This window comes from Homo sapiens, chromosome 9 (genome assembly GCF_000001405.40).
Source record: "Homo sapiens chromosome 9, GRCh38.p14 Primary Assembly".
Lineage (NCBI taxonomy): Eukaryota > Metazoa > Chordata > Mammalia > Primates > Hominidae > Homo > Homo sapiens.
In genome coordinates this window covers 2118902-2137466 of record NC_000009.12, presented here as the reverse complement: position 1 = coordinate 2137466, position 18565 = coordinate 2118902, and the positions used below count along the sequence as shown (strand labels likewise).

At 41.9% G+C, this 18565-nt stretch overlaps 1 protein-coding gene across 4 annotated transcripts in view, besides 1 other annotated feature; it reads right to left on the bottom strand.

The window, feature by feature from the left end:
* Nucleotides 1-18565, bottom strand: part of SMARCA2 (SWI/SNF related BAF chromatin remodeling complex subunit ATPase 2) — a 178274-nt gene that overhangs the window by 56154 nt on the left and 103555 nt on the right. For all 4 annotated transcript variants that reach the window (NM_003070.5, NM_139045.4, NM_001289397.2 and 1 more), the window contains exons 26-27: nt 17932-18009; nt 13530-13748 (exon numbers count right to left, since the gene is read on the bottom strand). In NM_003070.5, coding sequence (NP_003061.3) covers nt 13530-13748; nt 17932-18009 — 297 coding nt within the window. The remainder of the gene's footprint in view (nt 1-13529; nt 13749-17931; nt 18010-18565) is intronic.
* Nucleotides 1409-1676: a silencer, noted in NCBI's record as "fragment chr9:2135791-2136058 (GRCh37/hg19 assembly coordinates)". NCBI's record gives its function as "represses an EF-1alpha promoter that drives an FKBP-Casp9 reporter gene in an ReSE screen in phorbol 12-myristate 13-acetate-treated (for megakaryocytic differentiation) K562 erythroleukemia cells {active_cell/tissue: K562(+PMA)}" and the evidence as "EXISTENCE:reporter gene assay evidence [ECO:0000049][PMID:32094911]".

The window sequence follows — 18565 nt, the reverse complement described above, 5'->3', positions numbered from 1 at the left end:
GAGAGTTCAGTGGAGCAGCCACCCAGAGATGAAGGCAAGGAGGTGGGAATCCAGCACCAGGCAAAGGCCTGGTGATTGTGGCCTTATAGACCATGTTCAAGTGTTTAGATTTAATAACACTTACAATGGAAGGCCACTGGAGAACCTGATGCAGGAGTGGTCATCAGGGCCGATTTTTGGTAAGTTCCCACTGACCTCTCTGGGTAGCCACCTGAACTGTTGTGAACAAGGAGGAAAGGTATCCTCCAAAATGCCAAAAATCTGCAAATGTTACACACTCCAGATCCTTATTACTTTGGCACCTAAAGCCCTGAATCTTTCTTTTCTCAAAGGTGAATGAATGGGCCGTGCTGTACATTTTTTTCATTTTGGGCCAAGTAGGGTTGGTAGAAACCACACGAGCACTGGCGGTGTTAAGAAGGCTTGAGTCTCCTAGCAGTAGCCAGGAAGATAAACCCAGTTGCCTGCTGTGTCTGGAGGCCAGACTGCTTGGCCAAAGAGGCAGTGGCCCTTTCCTCCTCTGGGAGTTTGAGGATGGTGGAAGGGAAAATTGCAAATAACATCCAGAGGAATGACACTAAAATTCTAGCATTAAGTAAAATATGTGTTGTTTAAACTCTGATTTCCTGAACAGCTTAAACCCCTAAAAGTCAGAGCATCTCATGGTTTATTTTAATCTCTATCAATTTCCATCTGTGTCTACTTGGAGACCTGCTCTTGACAAGCTCTTCAAGGTGGCTAACTGTGCAATATTACCTCTATTAATAGTCTCTCTCAAACCTGGCTCCTAATTGCACTAATAAGGTGGGTCTGCCATGACTGTAAGGAATCCAAACAATACTGCTTTCCCCAGGCCAATCACAGTGTGTTGCTCAACCTAATCAATGTTTGACAAATGGATGTTGAATTGAATTTGCTTTTCAACAGTCTCCATAAATGTACTCACAGTACATTTATGTAAGATGAGAAAGCAGGGAATAGGCCAGGCACAGTGTTCACGCCTGTAATCCCAGCATTTTGGGAGGCTGAGGTGGGCAGATCACTTGAGGTCAGGAGTTCGAGACCAGATTGGCCAACATGGCAAAACCCCGTCTCTACCAATAATATAAAAATTAGCCAGGGGTGGTGGCACGTGCCTGTAATCCCAGCTACTCGGGAGGCTGAGGCACAAGAACTGTTTGAACCCGAGAAGCGCAGGTTGCAGTGAGCCAAGATCGTGCCACTGCACTCCAGCCGGGGCAACAGATTGAAACTGTATCTTAAAAAAAAAAAAAAAAAAAGAAGCAGGGGATAATTATTATTAAAAACCACAATAAAAAGTAAAAGTTGCCAGGCACGATGGCTCATGCCTGTAATCTCAGCACTTTGGGAGGCTGAGGCAGGCGGATCACGAGATCAGGAGTTCGAGACCAGCCTGGTCAATATGGTGAAACCCCATGTCTACTAAAAACACAAAAATTAGCCGGGCGTGGTGGCACTCGCCTGTAGTCCCAGCTACTCGGGAGACGGAGGCAGAAGAATTACTTGAACCTGGGAGGCGGAGGTAGCAATGAGCCAAGATTGCACCATTGCACTCCAACCTGGGCGACAGAGCAAAACTCTGTCTCAAAAAAAAAGTAAAAGTTGCTGGGTGCTGTGGCTCACACCTGTAATCCCAGCACTTTGGGAGGCCAAGGCAGGCAGATCACCTGAGGTCAGGAGTTCAAGACCAGGCTGACCAACATGGCGAAACCCCATCTCTACTAAAAATACAAAGAAGTAGCCAGGCATTGTGGCACACACCTTTAATCCCAGCTACTTGGGAGGCTGAAGTAGGATAATTGCTTGAACCCAGGAGGCAGAGGTTGCAGTGAGCCAAGATTGCACCACTGTACTCCATAATAGCTGCTTCAGGTGACTTTAGAGGTTACTGTTAGATAGATGGAAGGGATCCTGCAAATTAAAGATAATATAACTCAACGCATGTCTTAGTTCAGGCTGCCATAACAAAATACCATTAACTGGGTGACTGATGTGATGGTTAATTTTGGGTGTCAACTTGACTGGGCTAAGGGATGCCCAGATAGTTGGTAAAATATTATTTTGTGATGTGTCTGTAAGGTTGTTTCTGGAAGAGATTTGCATTTTAATCTACATACTGAGTAAAGAAGATTCACCCTCACCCACATAGGTAGGAATCATCCAATCCATTGAGGGCTGGACTTGAACAAAAAGGCAAAGGAAAGGGGAATTCCTTCTTTTCTTGAGCTGTGTCATCCATCTTCTCCTGCCCTCAGACACTGGAGCTCCTAGTTCTCAGGTCTTCGTAATCCAGGATTTATACCAGCAGTGGTCCCTGCTCTGGTTCTCAGTCCTTCAGACTTGGACTCAATTATACCATTGGCTTTCCTGGGTCTCCAACTTGCAGGTGGCATCTCATGGGATTTCTTGCACGAGTCAAGGCCCATAATATATCTCCTCTTATACATGGCTCCACATATCCCATTGGTTCTGTTTCTGTGGATAACCCTAATATAGCTTATAAATAACATACACTTATTTCTCAGTTTCGGAGGCTGGAAGTCTGAGGATAGGGTATAGCATGATTGGATTCTGTGAGAGCCCTCTTACAGCTTGCAGATTGCTGACCTCCTGTTGTAGAAAGACCTAGGGGGCTCTCTAGGGTCCCCTTTATAAGAGTACTAATTCCATTCATGAGGGCTCTCATGATATAATAACCTTCCAAAGGGCCCACCTCCTAATATCACATTGGGGGTTAGGATTTCAACATATCCATTTTGCAGGGACATAAACATCAGTCCATAACAACCCAGGAAGGTCAGGAGACCTGTCCAAGATCACATATTTATCTGGTAGCAGCGTCAGAACTCACATTCCAGGCTCCTGACTGCTAGCCCCATTGTTTTTCCTGCAGGCATGCAGGGTTACAGAGACAACCAGAGTAAAGACAGTTAATAGCCATGTGGGTATAGGTTGGCAGGCGGCTAGGTAGAAAGTCAGGGGAAAGAGAGTTAATAACCAAGTGAGTATAGGTTGGTGTACAGCTAGGGAGAAAACCAGGGTAAAGAGAGTTAATGGCCGAGCGAGTTTGGGTTGGTGTGCACCTAGGTAAAAACCAGGGTAAAGAGACTTAATGGCTGAATGAGTACAAGCTGGAGTGCTTGAGATGAATAAACCTGTGGTCCTGTAACATATTCAGCAAGTAAACATATTGTTCTCTTTTAATTCCATTAGTGAGTAAGCGAAAGGAGCTTCTTGATTCCCAATTTTACCTTTCTCTTGTCACCCCGAGTCTTGTCATCAAGACACAAAAGAGAACGTATTTTCTTCTTTTTCTATTATCCATTAGGTCTTCTTCGAAATAATTGGAAACTTTTTCTTAATAGCTAATACGTATTTCTGAGTCCTTCTTATATGCCAGATTCTATGTTACACACCTTTAATTCTCAGAATACCCTATCAAGTAGGTTCTATGATTTTCCCTGAGAGGAAAGCAAAGCTATGAGAGGTGACACAAGGTCCCCAAGGTCACACAGCTAATTAGATGGAACCGGAATCTGAACCTCTTGGTTCATCAGATTTCAAGGCATGTACTCTTAATCACTATCCTAAATTCTCCATATAGAGAGCCATCAAAAGTCACAGTTATTTTTCTGATGCTCACCCGAACCCTGAGGCATAATGATGATGAGGCCACCCTGCCCTGTCTCTGCTTCCTAAACTGTACTCTTCCCCACCTCCACCTCTTAATGAATAATTACATTTCTTTATTAAGAAAATTAATGAAGATTTTCTTCATGTAGACTTTTTTTTTTTTTTTAAATCCTGACACTGACTGAAACATGTAGCCTTATTGATTAAAAAAACTAAACAAAACAAAAACTGGCCAGGCGCGGTGGCTCATTCCTGTAACCACAACACTTTGCAGGGCTGAGGCAGGAGGATCACTTAGGGGCAGGAGTTCAAGACCAGCCTAGGCAATTGAGTGACATCCTGTCTGTACAAAAAAATACAAAAATTAGCTGGGTGTGGCGGTGCGTACCCGTAGTCTCAGCTACTCAAAAGGCTGAGGCAGGAAGACTGCTTGAGCCGAGGAGTTTGAGGCTGCAGTAAGCCTGGGTGACAGAGTGAGACCCTGTCTCTTAAAAAAATAAAGTAAAAAAGCAGAAAACGTCAAAAACCAAATCTTGATTCAGATAGACATATTCCTAAAATATTATTTCTAAAATATAATACAAATTCCTAAAATATTATTTCTCTGATTTCTCTGTAATAGTTTGCTCCATTAAAAGATAATGTGAAATTATTGGGGCTCCTTAGTATCTGTAGGCCAAATTCAGTTTCCCATGGTTACTTTCGATGAGTGAGTTTGATTTCAGAGCTGAATCCTGATTTCAGAGGACATAACTCAAGACCAGAAATTCCAAGCATCAAAGTTTTAAAAATCAAAACAATTCCCTCTCACTCCTCAACCTTTATTATTTATTTTAGTATATTTCCGTCAGACCTCTGAGGACTATTCTATTAAATTTATTCTCCCGAATTATATAAAATGGGAAATGTTAAGTCCAATGGGCTGTTAAAGCAATCTAGTCACTGGATTTCAGAAAAAAATAAAAATTATACAAAGTTCTTAAAATTATTTTATTACTATCAAGTATTTTTCCAAACAATTCACAACTGTTACCACTCTTAATTAGTTCAGTACTTCCACCCTAAAGTATTGAAGGACTTGGAATTTGGCAAAACCCAAATCTATTTTCTAGGGCCTTAGCTCTCCCTTGTGTATAAAAACGGAAATGCAGCTTGCTAGAAAATTTTGCCCCAGTAAATCTGATGACCCAATTTTAAAAGTTAAAATGCCATTTGATAAAAGAAAAAAGGGTCCATGTTTACAAAGCTTCTCACATCTTACAGAAAAAGCAAGAAAAGATTTTAAATGACAAAACAAATGCAGCCAAATATTACAAACATGATGCACATTATGCTTTAGAAAAAGGATCCCCCCCCACAAAAAAATCTTGCCAGTGTAAAATAAAATATTTTAGGGGAAAAGTACATCTACGAGAATCACTAATGCTGTCAGGAGAAACAGAGCTGAGTGATTCAAGCCCCTGTCTGTGATTTCAGGCTGGATCATACTTAATGCAGCCCAGAGGAGGCATTAGCTTGCTTGCAAGATCTCTAGGCAGAGAAAAATCCACAGCCCACCTCTTTACACCTGTGAGGAAATATTTTATTTATCATTGTGTATTTCCATAGAATTTCAAATGTCTTGTTCTTTAACCTTTCTTCGTATTTTCCCCAGTTTTTTGTGACTAATTCACCATGGATTTGTCTGCCTTTTCCTGTGTAGAGTTTAGCAGTTTGGCTTCCTGTGATGAGAGGCCAACTCAGAGAGCTTATTGCAGCTTGGTATTACATAGCTTTTTAAAGACACTAAATTCTCTTGAGATGTATCACATTTTACCTTACTGATTAGCACCTAGTATTATAAATGTCATTTTTTTTTCCTTTTTTTTTTTTTTTGAGATGGAGTTTTGCTCTGTCGCCAGGCTGCAGTGCAGTGGTGTGATCTTGGCTCACTGCGGGCTCCACCTCCAGGTTCAAGTGATTCTCCTGCCTCAGCCTCCCGAGTAGCTGGGATTACAGGCACCCGCCACCACGCCCAGCTAATTTTTGCATTTTTAGTAGAGACGGGGTTTCGCCATGCTGGCCTCGACCTCCCAAAGTGCTGGGATTACAGGCGTGAGCCACCGCACCCGGCCTCATTTTGTTTTTTCTACTTTGTTAAACTTTGGGAAGAAGAAAACCCCAAAATTATTTTAGTAGTCAGCAGACATGATGATGGGAACCCCATTTAGGCACGTTCACCATGGGAAGCTCAGGCTGTCACCTGGTGACAGACTGGTCAAGGAAAAGGAGGGTGTTCTGTCTTTCTGCAAAGTTCCTCTTGAAATTCTATGGCTTCTAAAACTTGCTGTTATCTATCGCCCAATTTAAAGATCTAAAGAAATAAGTCTCATCACCATCATTTCCGTAGCGTTTACTGGGGCCCAACTGCACAGGACATCACAAAACAAAGCGGTGTCTTCCCTCATCGCCAGGAGCTTATTCAGTATACCAAAAGAAGTGTCTACACATTCAGACATAAGGACCCCATAGTAGATATATGATGCCGTAAGAAAGGTAACAAGAGACAACAGCAAATAGGAGAAACTTTTTAAAATTACAAGACATTGTGAGACAAAGGCATACTACTCTCCAGCTGGCTGGTAATTGCATATTATCCAGAGCACATAAGCTAGAATGCATTCCAATTATCTTCCAGTGCTGTGGGGCAAAAATCACTCACGTAGCAATTAAATAAATTCAGGGATATCACTAAATGTTTTAAGGAAAGGAAGGATTCTGAAGTTGGCAGAAAGAGCAAAGGAACAGGAAGAATAGTAAAACAGGCATTCCAGAAACCACCCTCCAGCCCGCTTTTTGGCTCTGCAATCACCCCAATTTTGCACAGCCCCTGGCTCAATAATGATGACTGCCTTACGGTGCTAGAAACAGCACAGCCAGTGTACACAGGGCTGACATTAAACCGGAAAACCGTGGCCCACTGGGCTTGTCAGAATTTAGGTAGATGGAATGCCTGCTCTTACATATAAAGAAGCAAATATATGTTTCCAAGAAATTATCAAGATGGGCCATTTCTTGTGCATGCGCAATTATACATATATATATGTGTGTGTATATATATATGTATGTATGTATGTATATGTATAATTGCGCATGCAAATATATATATATGTAATCTGTAATATAGCACTGTTATCACCTTGGGCACACACCATAGGAAAGTTACAAAACTGTAATGGATGGAATATTTGTTAACCATGTTAATATTCTCTTTCACACTTTCTAAAAGAACCATCCCTTGTTCGGGAGAGTTACTCATTGCCTTGAGCAGAATTAGGATAAAGTTGGTATGCAGAGACAAAAATGACAACATCTTTGACTTCCAAAATAGGGTAGTGAATTCCCTTCACCACCTTTACGATCAAGAGCCAAACCTAGCGGACTGGGATTCTCATCTATCGCCTTAACCACTCGGCCACGACAAGGCCGAGGACCGGGATTCTCAGAATGGCACAAGAAGCCACAGCACATGGTGCTATCACTCGGGAACAGGAAGTTGCCACGTAACAGGAAGGCAAGGAGGAGAGCCTTCTTCCATGGAGGAAACAGGAGTCAAGAGGAAGAGAAGTAAGGTCAGGATTGAATATATTACTACCTATTATATAATAAAGAATCTGTCAGGCTGGGCATGGTGGCTCATGCCTGTAATCTCAACACTTTGGGAGACGGAAGCAGGTGGATCACTTGAGCTCAGGAGTTCAAGACCAGCCTGGCAAATGGGGCAAAACCCCGACTCTACAAAACGTACAATAATTAGCCGGGCATGGTGGCATGTACCTGTAGTCCTAGGTACTCAGGAGGCTGAGGTAGGAGGATTGCTTGAGTCTGGGAGGTCAAGGCTGCTGTGAGCCAAGATTACACCACTATACTCCAGCCTAGATAACAGAGTGAGATCCTGCCTCAAAAAAAAGAATTTGTCTGGTCTTTGTCCTGGGTTCCTGACATGGAGTTTCTATGTTTGACATCTCCGTAGTGACAGGAGTAACTTTGTTCTGATAATGAAGTGTCATGTGTGATAGGCCCCTAAACAGCTCCAGTGGGCACTGGTCACCAGAAAGACCAACCACATGACTACAGGGTTGGGGATGTGAGCCAGTCTGACCTCCAGGGAGGGCAGAGAGGCTGGGGAATGAGTTCAAGCATGTGGCCGACAATCTAATCAATCATGCCTATACATTGTGAAACCCCATTGAAAACTCTGGACATCAAGGCCCAGTAGCACTCCCTGGTTAGTGAACACACTGATGAGCTGGAGGACTGATGGACGCTGACTCCACGAGGAGCAGGCAGAGGAGCCCAGGTTTCCTCCCAGACTGCATGCTGTGCTTCCATTCATTTGGCTAGTCCCCTTTTTTCGAGATGGAGTCTCGCTGTGTCGCCCAGGCAGGAGTGCAATGGCACGATCTCGGCTCAATGTAACCTCTGCCTCCCGGGTTCAAGCGATTCCCCTGCCTCAGCCTCCCAAGCAGCTGGGACTACAGGCACGTGCCACCACGCCCGGCTAATTTTTTGTATTTTTAGTAGAGATGGGGTTTCACCGTGTTAGCCAGGATGGTCTCGATCTCCTGACCTCATGTTCCACCCGCCTCGCCCTCCCAAACTGCTGGGATTACAGGCATGAGCCACAGTGCCTGGCCTAGTTCTCTTGATTTGTATACTTCATAATCAATCCGAATCCGTTGCTAATGGCACTTGCCTGAGTTCTGTGAGTTGTTCTAGCAAATTATCAAGCCTAAAGGGTTCACGAGCCCCTGAATTTGTAGTCAGTCAAAAGTGTGGGGGGCCTCGGGACCCCCAAAGTGTGGCTGGTGTCTGAAGTCAGGGCAGTGTTGTTGGGGACTATGCACTTTAACTTATGGAGTCTGTGCTAAGTCTGGCTAGTTTGTGCCAGCACTGAATTGCAGCTGGGTTGAAATGCAATACTCCCCCTTCAGAATCCAAGCCTGGGGTGTTTGGAGGCAGAGACTGAGTGGAAAGGAAGATAATGAGGCACTAAAACTGCTAAAGGTGGATTTATTGGAAAGCTAATGAAGCTTAGGCTTTAGGCCTCTCACTCACAAGCTCCTTCCAAAGCTCTGGGAGGATCCCTCACTATGTGATCCCAAATACAGTTACATACTTTTATACAATTTGCAAACTTAAGACATTTTTGAATTGCTTTCTTTAAAAAGCTCCAGGACCCACCCAACCATCAGATTCTAGAAGCTTCAGGTTTGACAACCCCTGGTGCTGACTTAGCAACTGCTGAGGAAGGGGCCAGTTTCACTGCACCCTGCATCTTCTAGCACAGTGTGGAGAAATCAGTCAAGGAGAGTTTGCAGACTTCCAAACAGAACACAAAAGAGCTAAGAGCACCATGAGGCCAAAGAGGCCAGGGGTCTTATGAGATGTGAGAATGCAGGACAGCTTCTAACTAGTGCCTGTGGCCAGGCTCCAGATTTCAACAGCACATGTCATCAAGGTCTCTAAAAGAATGAGATGAAACCAGCTGCATGTAAAGACCTCCCAGGAAAGGAGCAGACCAGCAGCTATATGCTGAGATCAGTGGAGACCCATGGGGAGCAAGAGAACCAGGATGCTCGCCCCCAATGCCGTGCTTAAACACCACGTCTTTATCCAGATGCCATCTTGGAGAGGAGGATGGGATGGGAGCCCCCGGGGAAGAGAGAAACAGCCCAGAATGTGAATGTTGAACTGACTACCACAAAAAGATGACGTTAACTTGAGACCAGCTAACACTAAGGACATCTAAGTTTCCTCAGTGGAAATAGGAATTTCAAAACAATGTAAAATACCTTTAAAAAAAAAACTGAACTGTGTTTGAAATTGTGATCCTCCTGATTAAAAACAACATTATGAATGCAGAAAAAAATTCTAAATTCCACCAACTAAACAGATTCTCTAAAGGACACTGTAGGAATTTTTAGCATGCCATGATTACAAAATAAAACCTGTCTTCAATGAAACCAAAACACCACTGGCAAAGAAAGTGACCATAACACTTAAATTTAACCTAAGTGTGCTGAGGCAGGGATGGCTAAATATTCACCAAAATTTTGTTTTCCTGGGCTCACAGCCAGACCACATTTCCATCTCCTTTGCAGCTGGAGTGGCCACATAACCAAGTTCTAGCCAATGGAATTATAACCATTTAGGCAGGGCCCATTAGACTTCCATACCCACTACTCCATGTTGTTTTCCCCACTTCCAGCTCAAGTGGATGGAGATGACCAAGCCGGCAGAGGCTCTGTCAGCCTGGAGCCCTGAATGACCCTATGGAGAACAGCTGTCCTCACCAATCAGGTATACCTACCATGGACTTTCAGGGAAGGGAGAAATCAACTTCTGTTTATTTTTCTGGATAGGTCCATGGACAGGGCATGTTGAGGTCCATCTGTGGCAGCAGTGAACATTACCCACATCTATCTATACCCTTATCTGTCAATCCAGTGCTACTTTAATTTGGCAACTGATGGGCACTTAGTATTTGTACACAGAAGTCCTAAATTCTAACAAGATACAGAGCCAGCTTATCAACTAGTCAGGAAAGCAGGCAGGTTGGCAACTACCGAGAATACTAGGAAACTGTGACTGAAGGACAAGCAAAGAAATGTTAAGAGGACAATTAAAAGTGCAATTAATATTTATCTGTGAAGGTGCCACAGAGTGGGTAGCAACTGAATTGGGCCTTGAAGGAGGAGGAAAGTTCAAGAGAAAGAGGAAGGTAGAAAAGTTCAATCCAGACTGAACATGAGTTTGCAAACATTTTATCCATGGGGCTGTGATACTAAAGACAGAAAAAAATATTGTTCTCTTCACCCCAGGGAAAAGAATCAAGGCCTCTGAGGAGAAGCTACAAGGAAAGAAGATTCTATTCAAAGGGAGGAAGAACTATTAATCAGAGCTGACCACGAACTGGAGGGGCTACACAGACAAAAAGGTAGTTTTTCCTTCTAGGGGTGGCCAGCCTCCTGGCACAGAGATTGCAGAGAATGTGATTTAAGCAAGGGATGGGAAGCTGTTCCATTCAACTGCCTTGCAGCTCTGCGATGCTATGCATCTTGGATGTCTCTGCCAAGCAGGCTTTGTACAACATTGCCAGGAAAAAGAAGAATTATTTTAGCCCTGTTACAGCATTTCTTACACGACGGTCCTTGCCAAACTCCCTTTCAAGGCCATGTTGGCTGGGTTCATGCAATGTGTTAAATCATAAGCCAGTAGAGAACATCTCTTCACATCCAGGCCCATGAGAACCCCTTCAATATCATTTCATCATCAAAAAAGCTTAACAGGCTGATATTAAATAGGATTGCTGCTGGTGAACACCAAAGACAGGAAGCATCTACTTTGAATGCTTAGGCCATGGGGCATGTTGCATCCATTGCATGTCCTGATTAATAACAAGTTGCCAGTTTCATACCAAATACGGGCATGCAGTTTTCAAAAGATTAGATTACAAAAAGATACGTTACAATAAAGCTGTTTTGAGAACAGTTTCGTCCTTCTTGGATGACTTAGTATGTTGCATGGCATTTCAGAATTACAATTATAAAAACCAATTTTCACAGTGCAGTTTTGTAAAACAAACTAATTTTCCATTTTTAAATGTGCATGTTGTAGATAAAAGGAAGTTTACTAGATGCGCTAAAAAGAGAAATGCTCTCCTAACACTGCTGATAAGTTAGTCACTTTCCCTTTCCTCTTAAGGCTGTACTTTCATTTTCACAAACATTCACTGAGTCTCTATGCTAGGCACTGTGCTACTCATCAGGGATAGAAACTGAATGAAAAAGAGAAAACAAAACAGATATCTTAAACTGGAAAACTTCCTGAGATTCATAATGTTGTTTTTCTTCAGGGCAATTCCCAATGATTATTTTTAAGAAGTTAAGTTCAGCTACATTCTTGCCCAATAAACAAGGTTATTTTGCTTTTAATGTCTGGAGAGTAAACATATCAAAGCTTAGCTTTAAAAATTTCGCCCAGCCAGGCACGGTGGCTCACGCCTGTAATCCCAGCACTTTGGGAGGCCAAGGCAGGTGGATCACCCGAGCTCAGGAGTTTGAGACCAGCCTGACCAACATGGTGAAACCCCGTCTCTACTAAAAATATAAAAATTAGCCGGGCATGGTGGTATGCGCCTGTAATCCCAGCTACTGGGGAGGCTGAAGCAGGAGAATCCCTTGAACCCGGTAGGCAGAGGTTGCACTGAGCTGAGACCACACCATTGCACTATAGCCTCAGTGACAGAGAGAGACTCTGTCTCAAAAAAAAAAAAAAAAAAGGTTGGCCCAGATTATTATTGTCCCGTCTGCTGTAATAATACTCCAGGTACTCAATTTATTGCTTAAATAAAATTTTCCCAAGCTCAGAAATATATATTAGCCAAAAAACTCTTCATATTACAGAATGAATCCTAATTACATAACTATAATCTCAATAGTGAAACAAAGAAAATTCACAGAATCATATTCTGAGGTCACTGGAATATTTGACTGGATACGACAAACTAATCACACAAATGTTCTATTTTATACACAACGGTTCAACCACAAATAATGAGCAGTGCTTTTCAGAATCACAGGCTCCCATCTTTTCAAAATTCAGGTCACGTCCCTCTCATCATACAACATCCTGAGTAAATCACATCTCAAGCGGTGACAAGACCTGTTTGCCTTTGGTATCTAATCTCAAAATTCTGCCCACTGCCTTTCTACCCATCTACCTACTTAAAACCTGGGTCCTAAAATCCATGTTTCACAAAGCTTGGGAACTGTACTCCCCTTGGATAAAACGAACAACTCCCCAAAGCTTTTGTTTTGCTTGGTTTTTACCCAACTACACTTACTATTTCCAGCATGCATTTACTGGCTGTGTCTGGAATGCACGTCCCAGGTTGCTGTGCCTTTCTAGGTACTAAGTCTACTCCCAAAAATGGGAAGTAGAGCTAACCCTTCGAATGGAACAGTCACCCGGGCCTCAGTGTTCACACACGCGACTCCTAAGAGCATTTTGATATTTCTGTGCTGCCCAAGGAACGTTCTGAGATTTCAGTCCTCAATCAAAATGAGAAATCACCATTTTCCAAAGGAAAAACAACATAAACAAACTCCCGAATAACATTTCCAAGCATCGGTGACCCGAGTCCCAGGCTCTAATCTGTGTTTGTGATGGACAGATCAGATCAAGCGGAAATCGAGCATGTAGACACATAAGCACCCACCGATTCTGTGCTTTCTAACCAGCTGTGTGTCCTGCATAGCCATGTCACCTCTCTGGGCCTCAGTTTCTTCATCAAACCAAGCAAGTACAAAGGTACCTTCCAGCTCTAAAAGTACTATGGGTCTACAAAATAACCACACAGTTAGAAAACTCTGCTATCCCTGAAAGATCTGTGCAGACCTTGCAGAAGTAAAACCTCGATTAAAGACCATGAAATGAGGGGGAACAATTACAAAGATCTCTAAGGTGCCCTTCCACATTTTGATTCTCAGTTGGAGAGAGTGAGGCATGACCAGGCAATTGGTCATAAAACATTAGTGGGTCTCACAGCTCTCATAATCCTGTGCTTCCAATGGCCAATTCTGCTCTAGCAAAAAATCCTGCATATTTTTTTCCAAGCACCGCCTTGAAGTGCAGAACGCCTTTATCTTTTCATGCAACAGCACAATGACTTTATGCAACAGCAGAATGACTTTATCTTCTGTGTTCAAGAGCCCCTTCCCTTTGATTGCGAACTCAACCTCCTCAGAAAATCCCAGCTCTAGGCCCCTGGTTTCTCCAAGCCACCAAAAACCCTCCACCTAGTGAGAGCGGGTTAGAAAAGCTAGGCTTACCCTTAGCCACTGCTTCTCCGTGAGGGCGTCACTGTAGTCCACGTCACGGCGCTGGCGGGACCCCCTCCCAAATATTTTCTCCTCCTCTTCTTCACAGGTGAGCCTTTCTACTTCAGCGTCATCCTTAATGATCCAGGAGGGCAGCTCATCCTCCTCCATTAAACGGGGCTTCCGTTTCGGGTTCCGGGCATCTTCCCTCCGCCGGTCCATGTCCATCCGCTGGAGACATTAATAAGAGGGTCACCGAAAGTCAGGGCTTCTGTATGGTGCAGACTTCCCAGCACTACACAACTTCCCCAAGTCACTTCCTATGGCTGCAGGGTCCCTTTCAACCTCTCTCATCCTGGTTGGCTTGTTCTAGCTCATCCCTAAATATCTAGGGAGAGATTCCATTAAGTAAAATCCCCTCCCTTTTTCTGTACCCACCTTTTGAAACTTATTCATACATTTAAAAAGTACTTTTAAAGAATTTCCTTTTCTTAGTCTGTGTGTATGCAAAGCTCCCTCTTTAAAGTAATAGTGGAAAAATTCAAATTGGGAATGCATTTTAAAAATATGACCTCTTGGCTATACAACTCATTGCTTCCCTGGAAGAAACTTATTCTTTGAGTAAAGAAAAGAAAGATCTTTAAGAAAGTTTCCTTTTATTCAATAGGGCTTGTGCTTTGAACTAAACAATCAGCAATAAAAAAAAAAGGGGGACCCAAGGTATCAGTACAGAATAGCTACCCACAGTTGGACATGTGGAAGAGACATAAATGGTTTCACTGGTCCATTGGCCATGAATATACTAACTTTTCAATACCTCATGGGCACTGTCTGAGGAATGCTCTTCAATTCTTTACATTTTAAGCTTTGTGCTCTTATGAATATATTATACCACAGACAGAGAGAGCTCAGAGGTAATCGCATCCCAACTGATCTAGTTGTAAGTGAAATGGATTCCTTTCAGAGCCTTCAAAATGCCTACTTCCCCACCTTCTCTCTTTTTAATAATCCAGTTCACTTGTAAATAAACTAAGGGCCACACACTTGGCTTTAATCTATAACTAAACAATACGATGGATTTTTAAAAAATAAACTGCCACTATATATCCACAGACATTATGTATAAACACTAGCGAGATGTGTCATTTCCACAATGAAATGGACCATCAATCATTGTTATTTACCTTTTCCTTCTTCCTTTGGTTCTACCATACTGAAATTGGGATTCAATATTATGTTTTCTTAAAAGCTAAAACTGATAAAATGTAAATGAAATATCTACGCAAACCCAAATATGACCTCTAGAACCTATTTTAAAATTAGTGGTCAAAGCTCTTTATACTTCTTCCACATTTTTGGAAGTCATTACATTTCCAGAATCTGGTAGGCTTGGGAGACAGGTGAAGTCCCATTGGTTGATAAATGTGGCCACCTTGCTCTGTCATGTGCTATAATTAGCTCACGATGCTTAATCCTGTCTTCTAATGTTTTGGTATGAGAAATGGATCCACCAAACCTTCATAACTGGCACACAGAGGTTGCCTTCTTTACAGCAGTTCTAAAGAGGGGCTTCGTGAGGCAACCTCCTAATAGTTATTAGAGAGCTAATAAGAAAAAAAAAAATTTTGTTAATGTCCTATACTGAGATGACAAAATACTGCCATTTCAATCTTTGGTTTTACTGCTACTATTATCTACAGCAAAAAAATAGTCTTTGAGGTATGTTTAATCAATACATTTCTATGGACATTATTCTTGCTAATATATTTGTCCACAATTGAGAAAATAAATCTTTTCTGATAGAAAAGTAAATTATGCACTTGTTTCTTTTTTCTTTTAGGAAAGGTAGATTCGATTACATAAGATAAGCTTAAAGTCTTAATAACTGCATCTCTCCCTAGAGATTTCTACCCACAAAATACCAATATAATTAATTCAACATTATGGCAAAAGTCAAACTTACTATTTAGTTACTTTGTGAATAATTGGTCTTGAGATCTGATTATAAACCTTATGCTTACAAGTACAATTAGTTTTAAAAGTGCTTTTTCCCTTTGTAGAGAACATAGCATCTAAAAGCTTAATGTTTGTATGTTAGCAAAATGTCTCAGATACTTATCTTGAGCTGCCAAAGATCTTTTTGGTAAAATTCCTAAGTAATTGGTATAAAAGATACTTTTTCTGAAGTTACATTTTTAGAAAGAGAAAGCAAGACATGCTTTTTTTAAAAGACGTTATTTTAAATAAACTATCTGCTTATCATGTGTAAACCAGTGTCTATGATACAAAATCAAATAATAAGTTTGCATTAATTTTATAGAGAACTCACTCTTTTCTAATAATGGATAAAGAGTTTAAATATTTAAAATCCAAAGATTTATTCTAGCTCACATTCCATTCTTGTTTCTCACCAAACTTTTTAATCTGTAGCTGGCAGAGATTCAAATTTTATTTCCTGCCCCCAAGTGGAGGTGCTAAGGAATAGTGAATTGGCCAAAGGCGGCCGGTGGATTAGAAGAAACTAAACCAAACCTAAAATCTGTCTAATCCTCAAAATAGAAGCCAGCCTTTAAGAAACCAGCAGAAAATTCACAAAATCAAAGTGCCTACAAAAAGTGTTCCCTAGCCAGCCTCACCTGTGTTACAACCCTGTTCTTTGAGTGGTAAAATAGTCCCAAATTAAAAGAAGGCTGTGCCTTCCAAGATATTCAGATTGTTTCTGAGGTTTTCAATTTCTACAAATAGCCCAAAAGTAAGGCAGGAAAGTACACTCACCCCCTTACTTCAGGGCTGCTGAAAGAATTCTCCATTTCTGGGCCTAATCTAATTTGTATAATGGCAAGCAGCTTGTCCTCTCCAGTGTCTTGAGAGTATCTGCGGCTTTAGCAGTGCTGAATTATTGCCTAACAGTGATCAGCTGAGGGTCTCTTGCTTGGGTGTTCCCCAGTAATCTGCCTTTTAATTAGTTCTTCAAGGACAGAGGGGATGTCTATTTCTGATGGGTATCTTTAACCTCCCTAAATAGAGAATATTGTAATCTTTGATTATGCTGACCAGTGTGAGTTAAGAAATCTAGAATTTATGAATGCCCTACATTGACCATGCTGTTAAGTCTTTCTTACTACCATTCCTCTCTGAAATAGCTTTACTTGGGAAGGGTGGTTCATTTCGGGGACGGAGGGAGAAAGGGAAGTGCATATTCCAGTTTAGTAGTTATTCCCACAGCTACCTGAATTTTCCTGAGAAAGAAAATTTTATTGTGGATCATTATATACAATCAATGTTCCCAGAAAAAAGCCACACACACAAAACCCCAAAATAACATAAGCCTCTCCAAACAGGTGGAGTTCCATTCTGTCTAGGCTAAAAAGGTGGAGATTGCAAACCCTGTGGATCATATTTGGCCCACAGTTGTGTTTTGTTTGGCATGCAGTGTTATATAATAACTTAAAAAGTTGGATTTAGTTGCAGTGTTTTAAAATCTAGAGATCACATATAAACACCTAGACTTCAAGCTCCCCTTGAAAATTTGTCATTTCTGGCGACATAGGTCTCACATTTCTACCTTGCAGCTCTGTCCCCCCATAGACAAAGCATCTCCAGTACACCTACCTCTGCCCACTTGCTTCACACATGCAAATTACTCATGTAAGATCTGATGGCACTCAAATTTGGGACCTCTAACTTTAGGGTTCTGCAGCATTCAACCACCAAAGTTGTGGTTTATATTTACTCTCTCTGTAATCAGTCTTTGATGAAGATGAAAATGATTGAAGATACTGGAGGGAAATCCAACTGATTTTGATCCTTAAATGAAGGCTACACCTTTATGCACACCTTGAAGGTTCCCATTCATTTAAGCGGGCTCTCGTCAACAATCTGAAAAGGCACACCTGTGTGTTGTTTTAGCTGTTGTCCACCTATCTCCCTAAGGAGCATGTTGCTTTGATCCTGTAAGGGCACTGTTGTAAGTTCCAATGCCTATAGGAGCCAGGTAGGCTTCCTGAATGACACTGGCCTGGGATTAGAAACGAACTGGGAACAGGAGGGCGTCTATGGTAAGCTGTAGACCGCGAGGCCTGTCCAGAGAGTGCAGCTGCTACTCAGCCCTGGCCAACTGTTTCCACACAAAGATGTGGGCCTGGTACTGCCCGATCTCATTTTTCAAGAGAAGCCAGAAATCAGGATTCTTTTTTATGTTGGCAATGAATGGGAAATTTTAAAAAACGCTGCGTGGGCCAAACAAAATATGTCTGCAGGCTAACTCCAGCCAGTTTGCAGCCTCTGAACTGAAGGAAAGGCATAGGCTTTACGTATGAAGTTCTGCCAGGCACGCAGGCTGCAGACATTCTGCTTAACAGAAAAAGGGGCAGAGGTATAAAGCATTTGTGTTCATGATTTTCTGTAACATTACCATAAAAAGGTCAAATTCTTCTTCTCGTCGAGCAATCATTTGGTTCAGAGTCTCATCGTCCGGTACTTCATCTTCTTCCTGGGGTTAAAAACAGAGTGATTTTAACCAGTGGACAGCTGGGGCAAGGTACAAACAAGTAAGTGATCTGTCCTCCAGACCAGAGGGGTCCCATTTCTCAAGGCAGAAAGAAAAGGGAAGGGGTTGCTGGATTTAGTCCTTGACGTTACTATTTTACAAGCTATTAAAACCATCTTCCCAGAGCAAAATCCGTTCAGGGAGGAAACTGTGGTCCACTATAAGAAATATGAGTTCTCCTGGATGTGTATCTTGATTCTGTTACTTTTACAACAAGTTACTTAATGTCTCCTCGCTTCAGTGACCTCATTGGTCATATGGGTATGACATCTATTTCACATGGGGATGTAAGATTTTAATAAGGACATCCATATGAAAAAGTACCTAACATTAATTCTTTTAATTCCATTTACCTTATGCCAAATATAAATGCTTATTTTCAAATCCTTACAAAAGACATAAGTATGTGAAACCTTGTTACTAGGCACTAAGACAATAAAAATCACATATATGTGCCAAATATATAGCCTTTGAAGTGTGCTTAATATATTTCTATGGG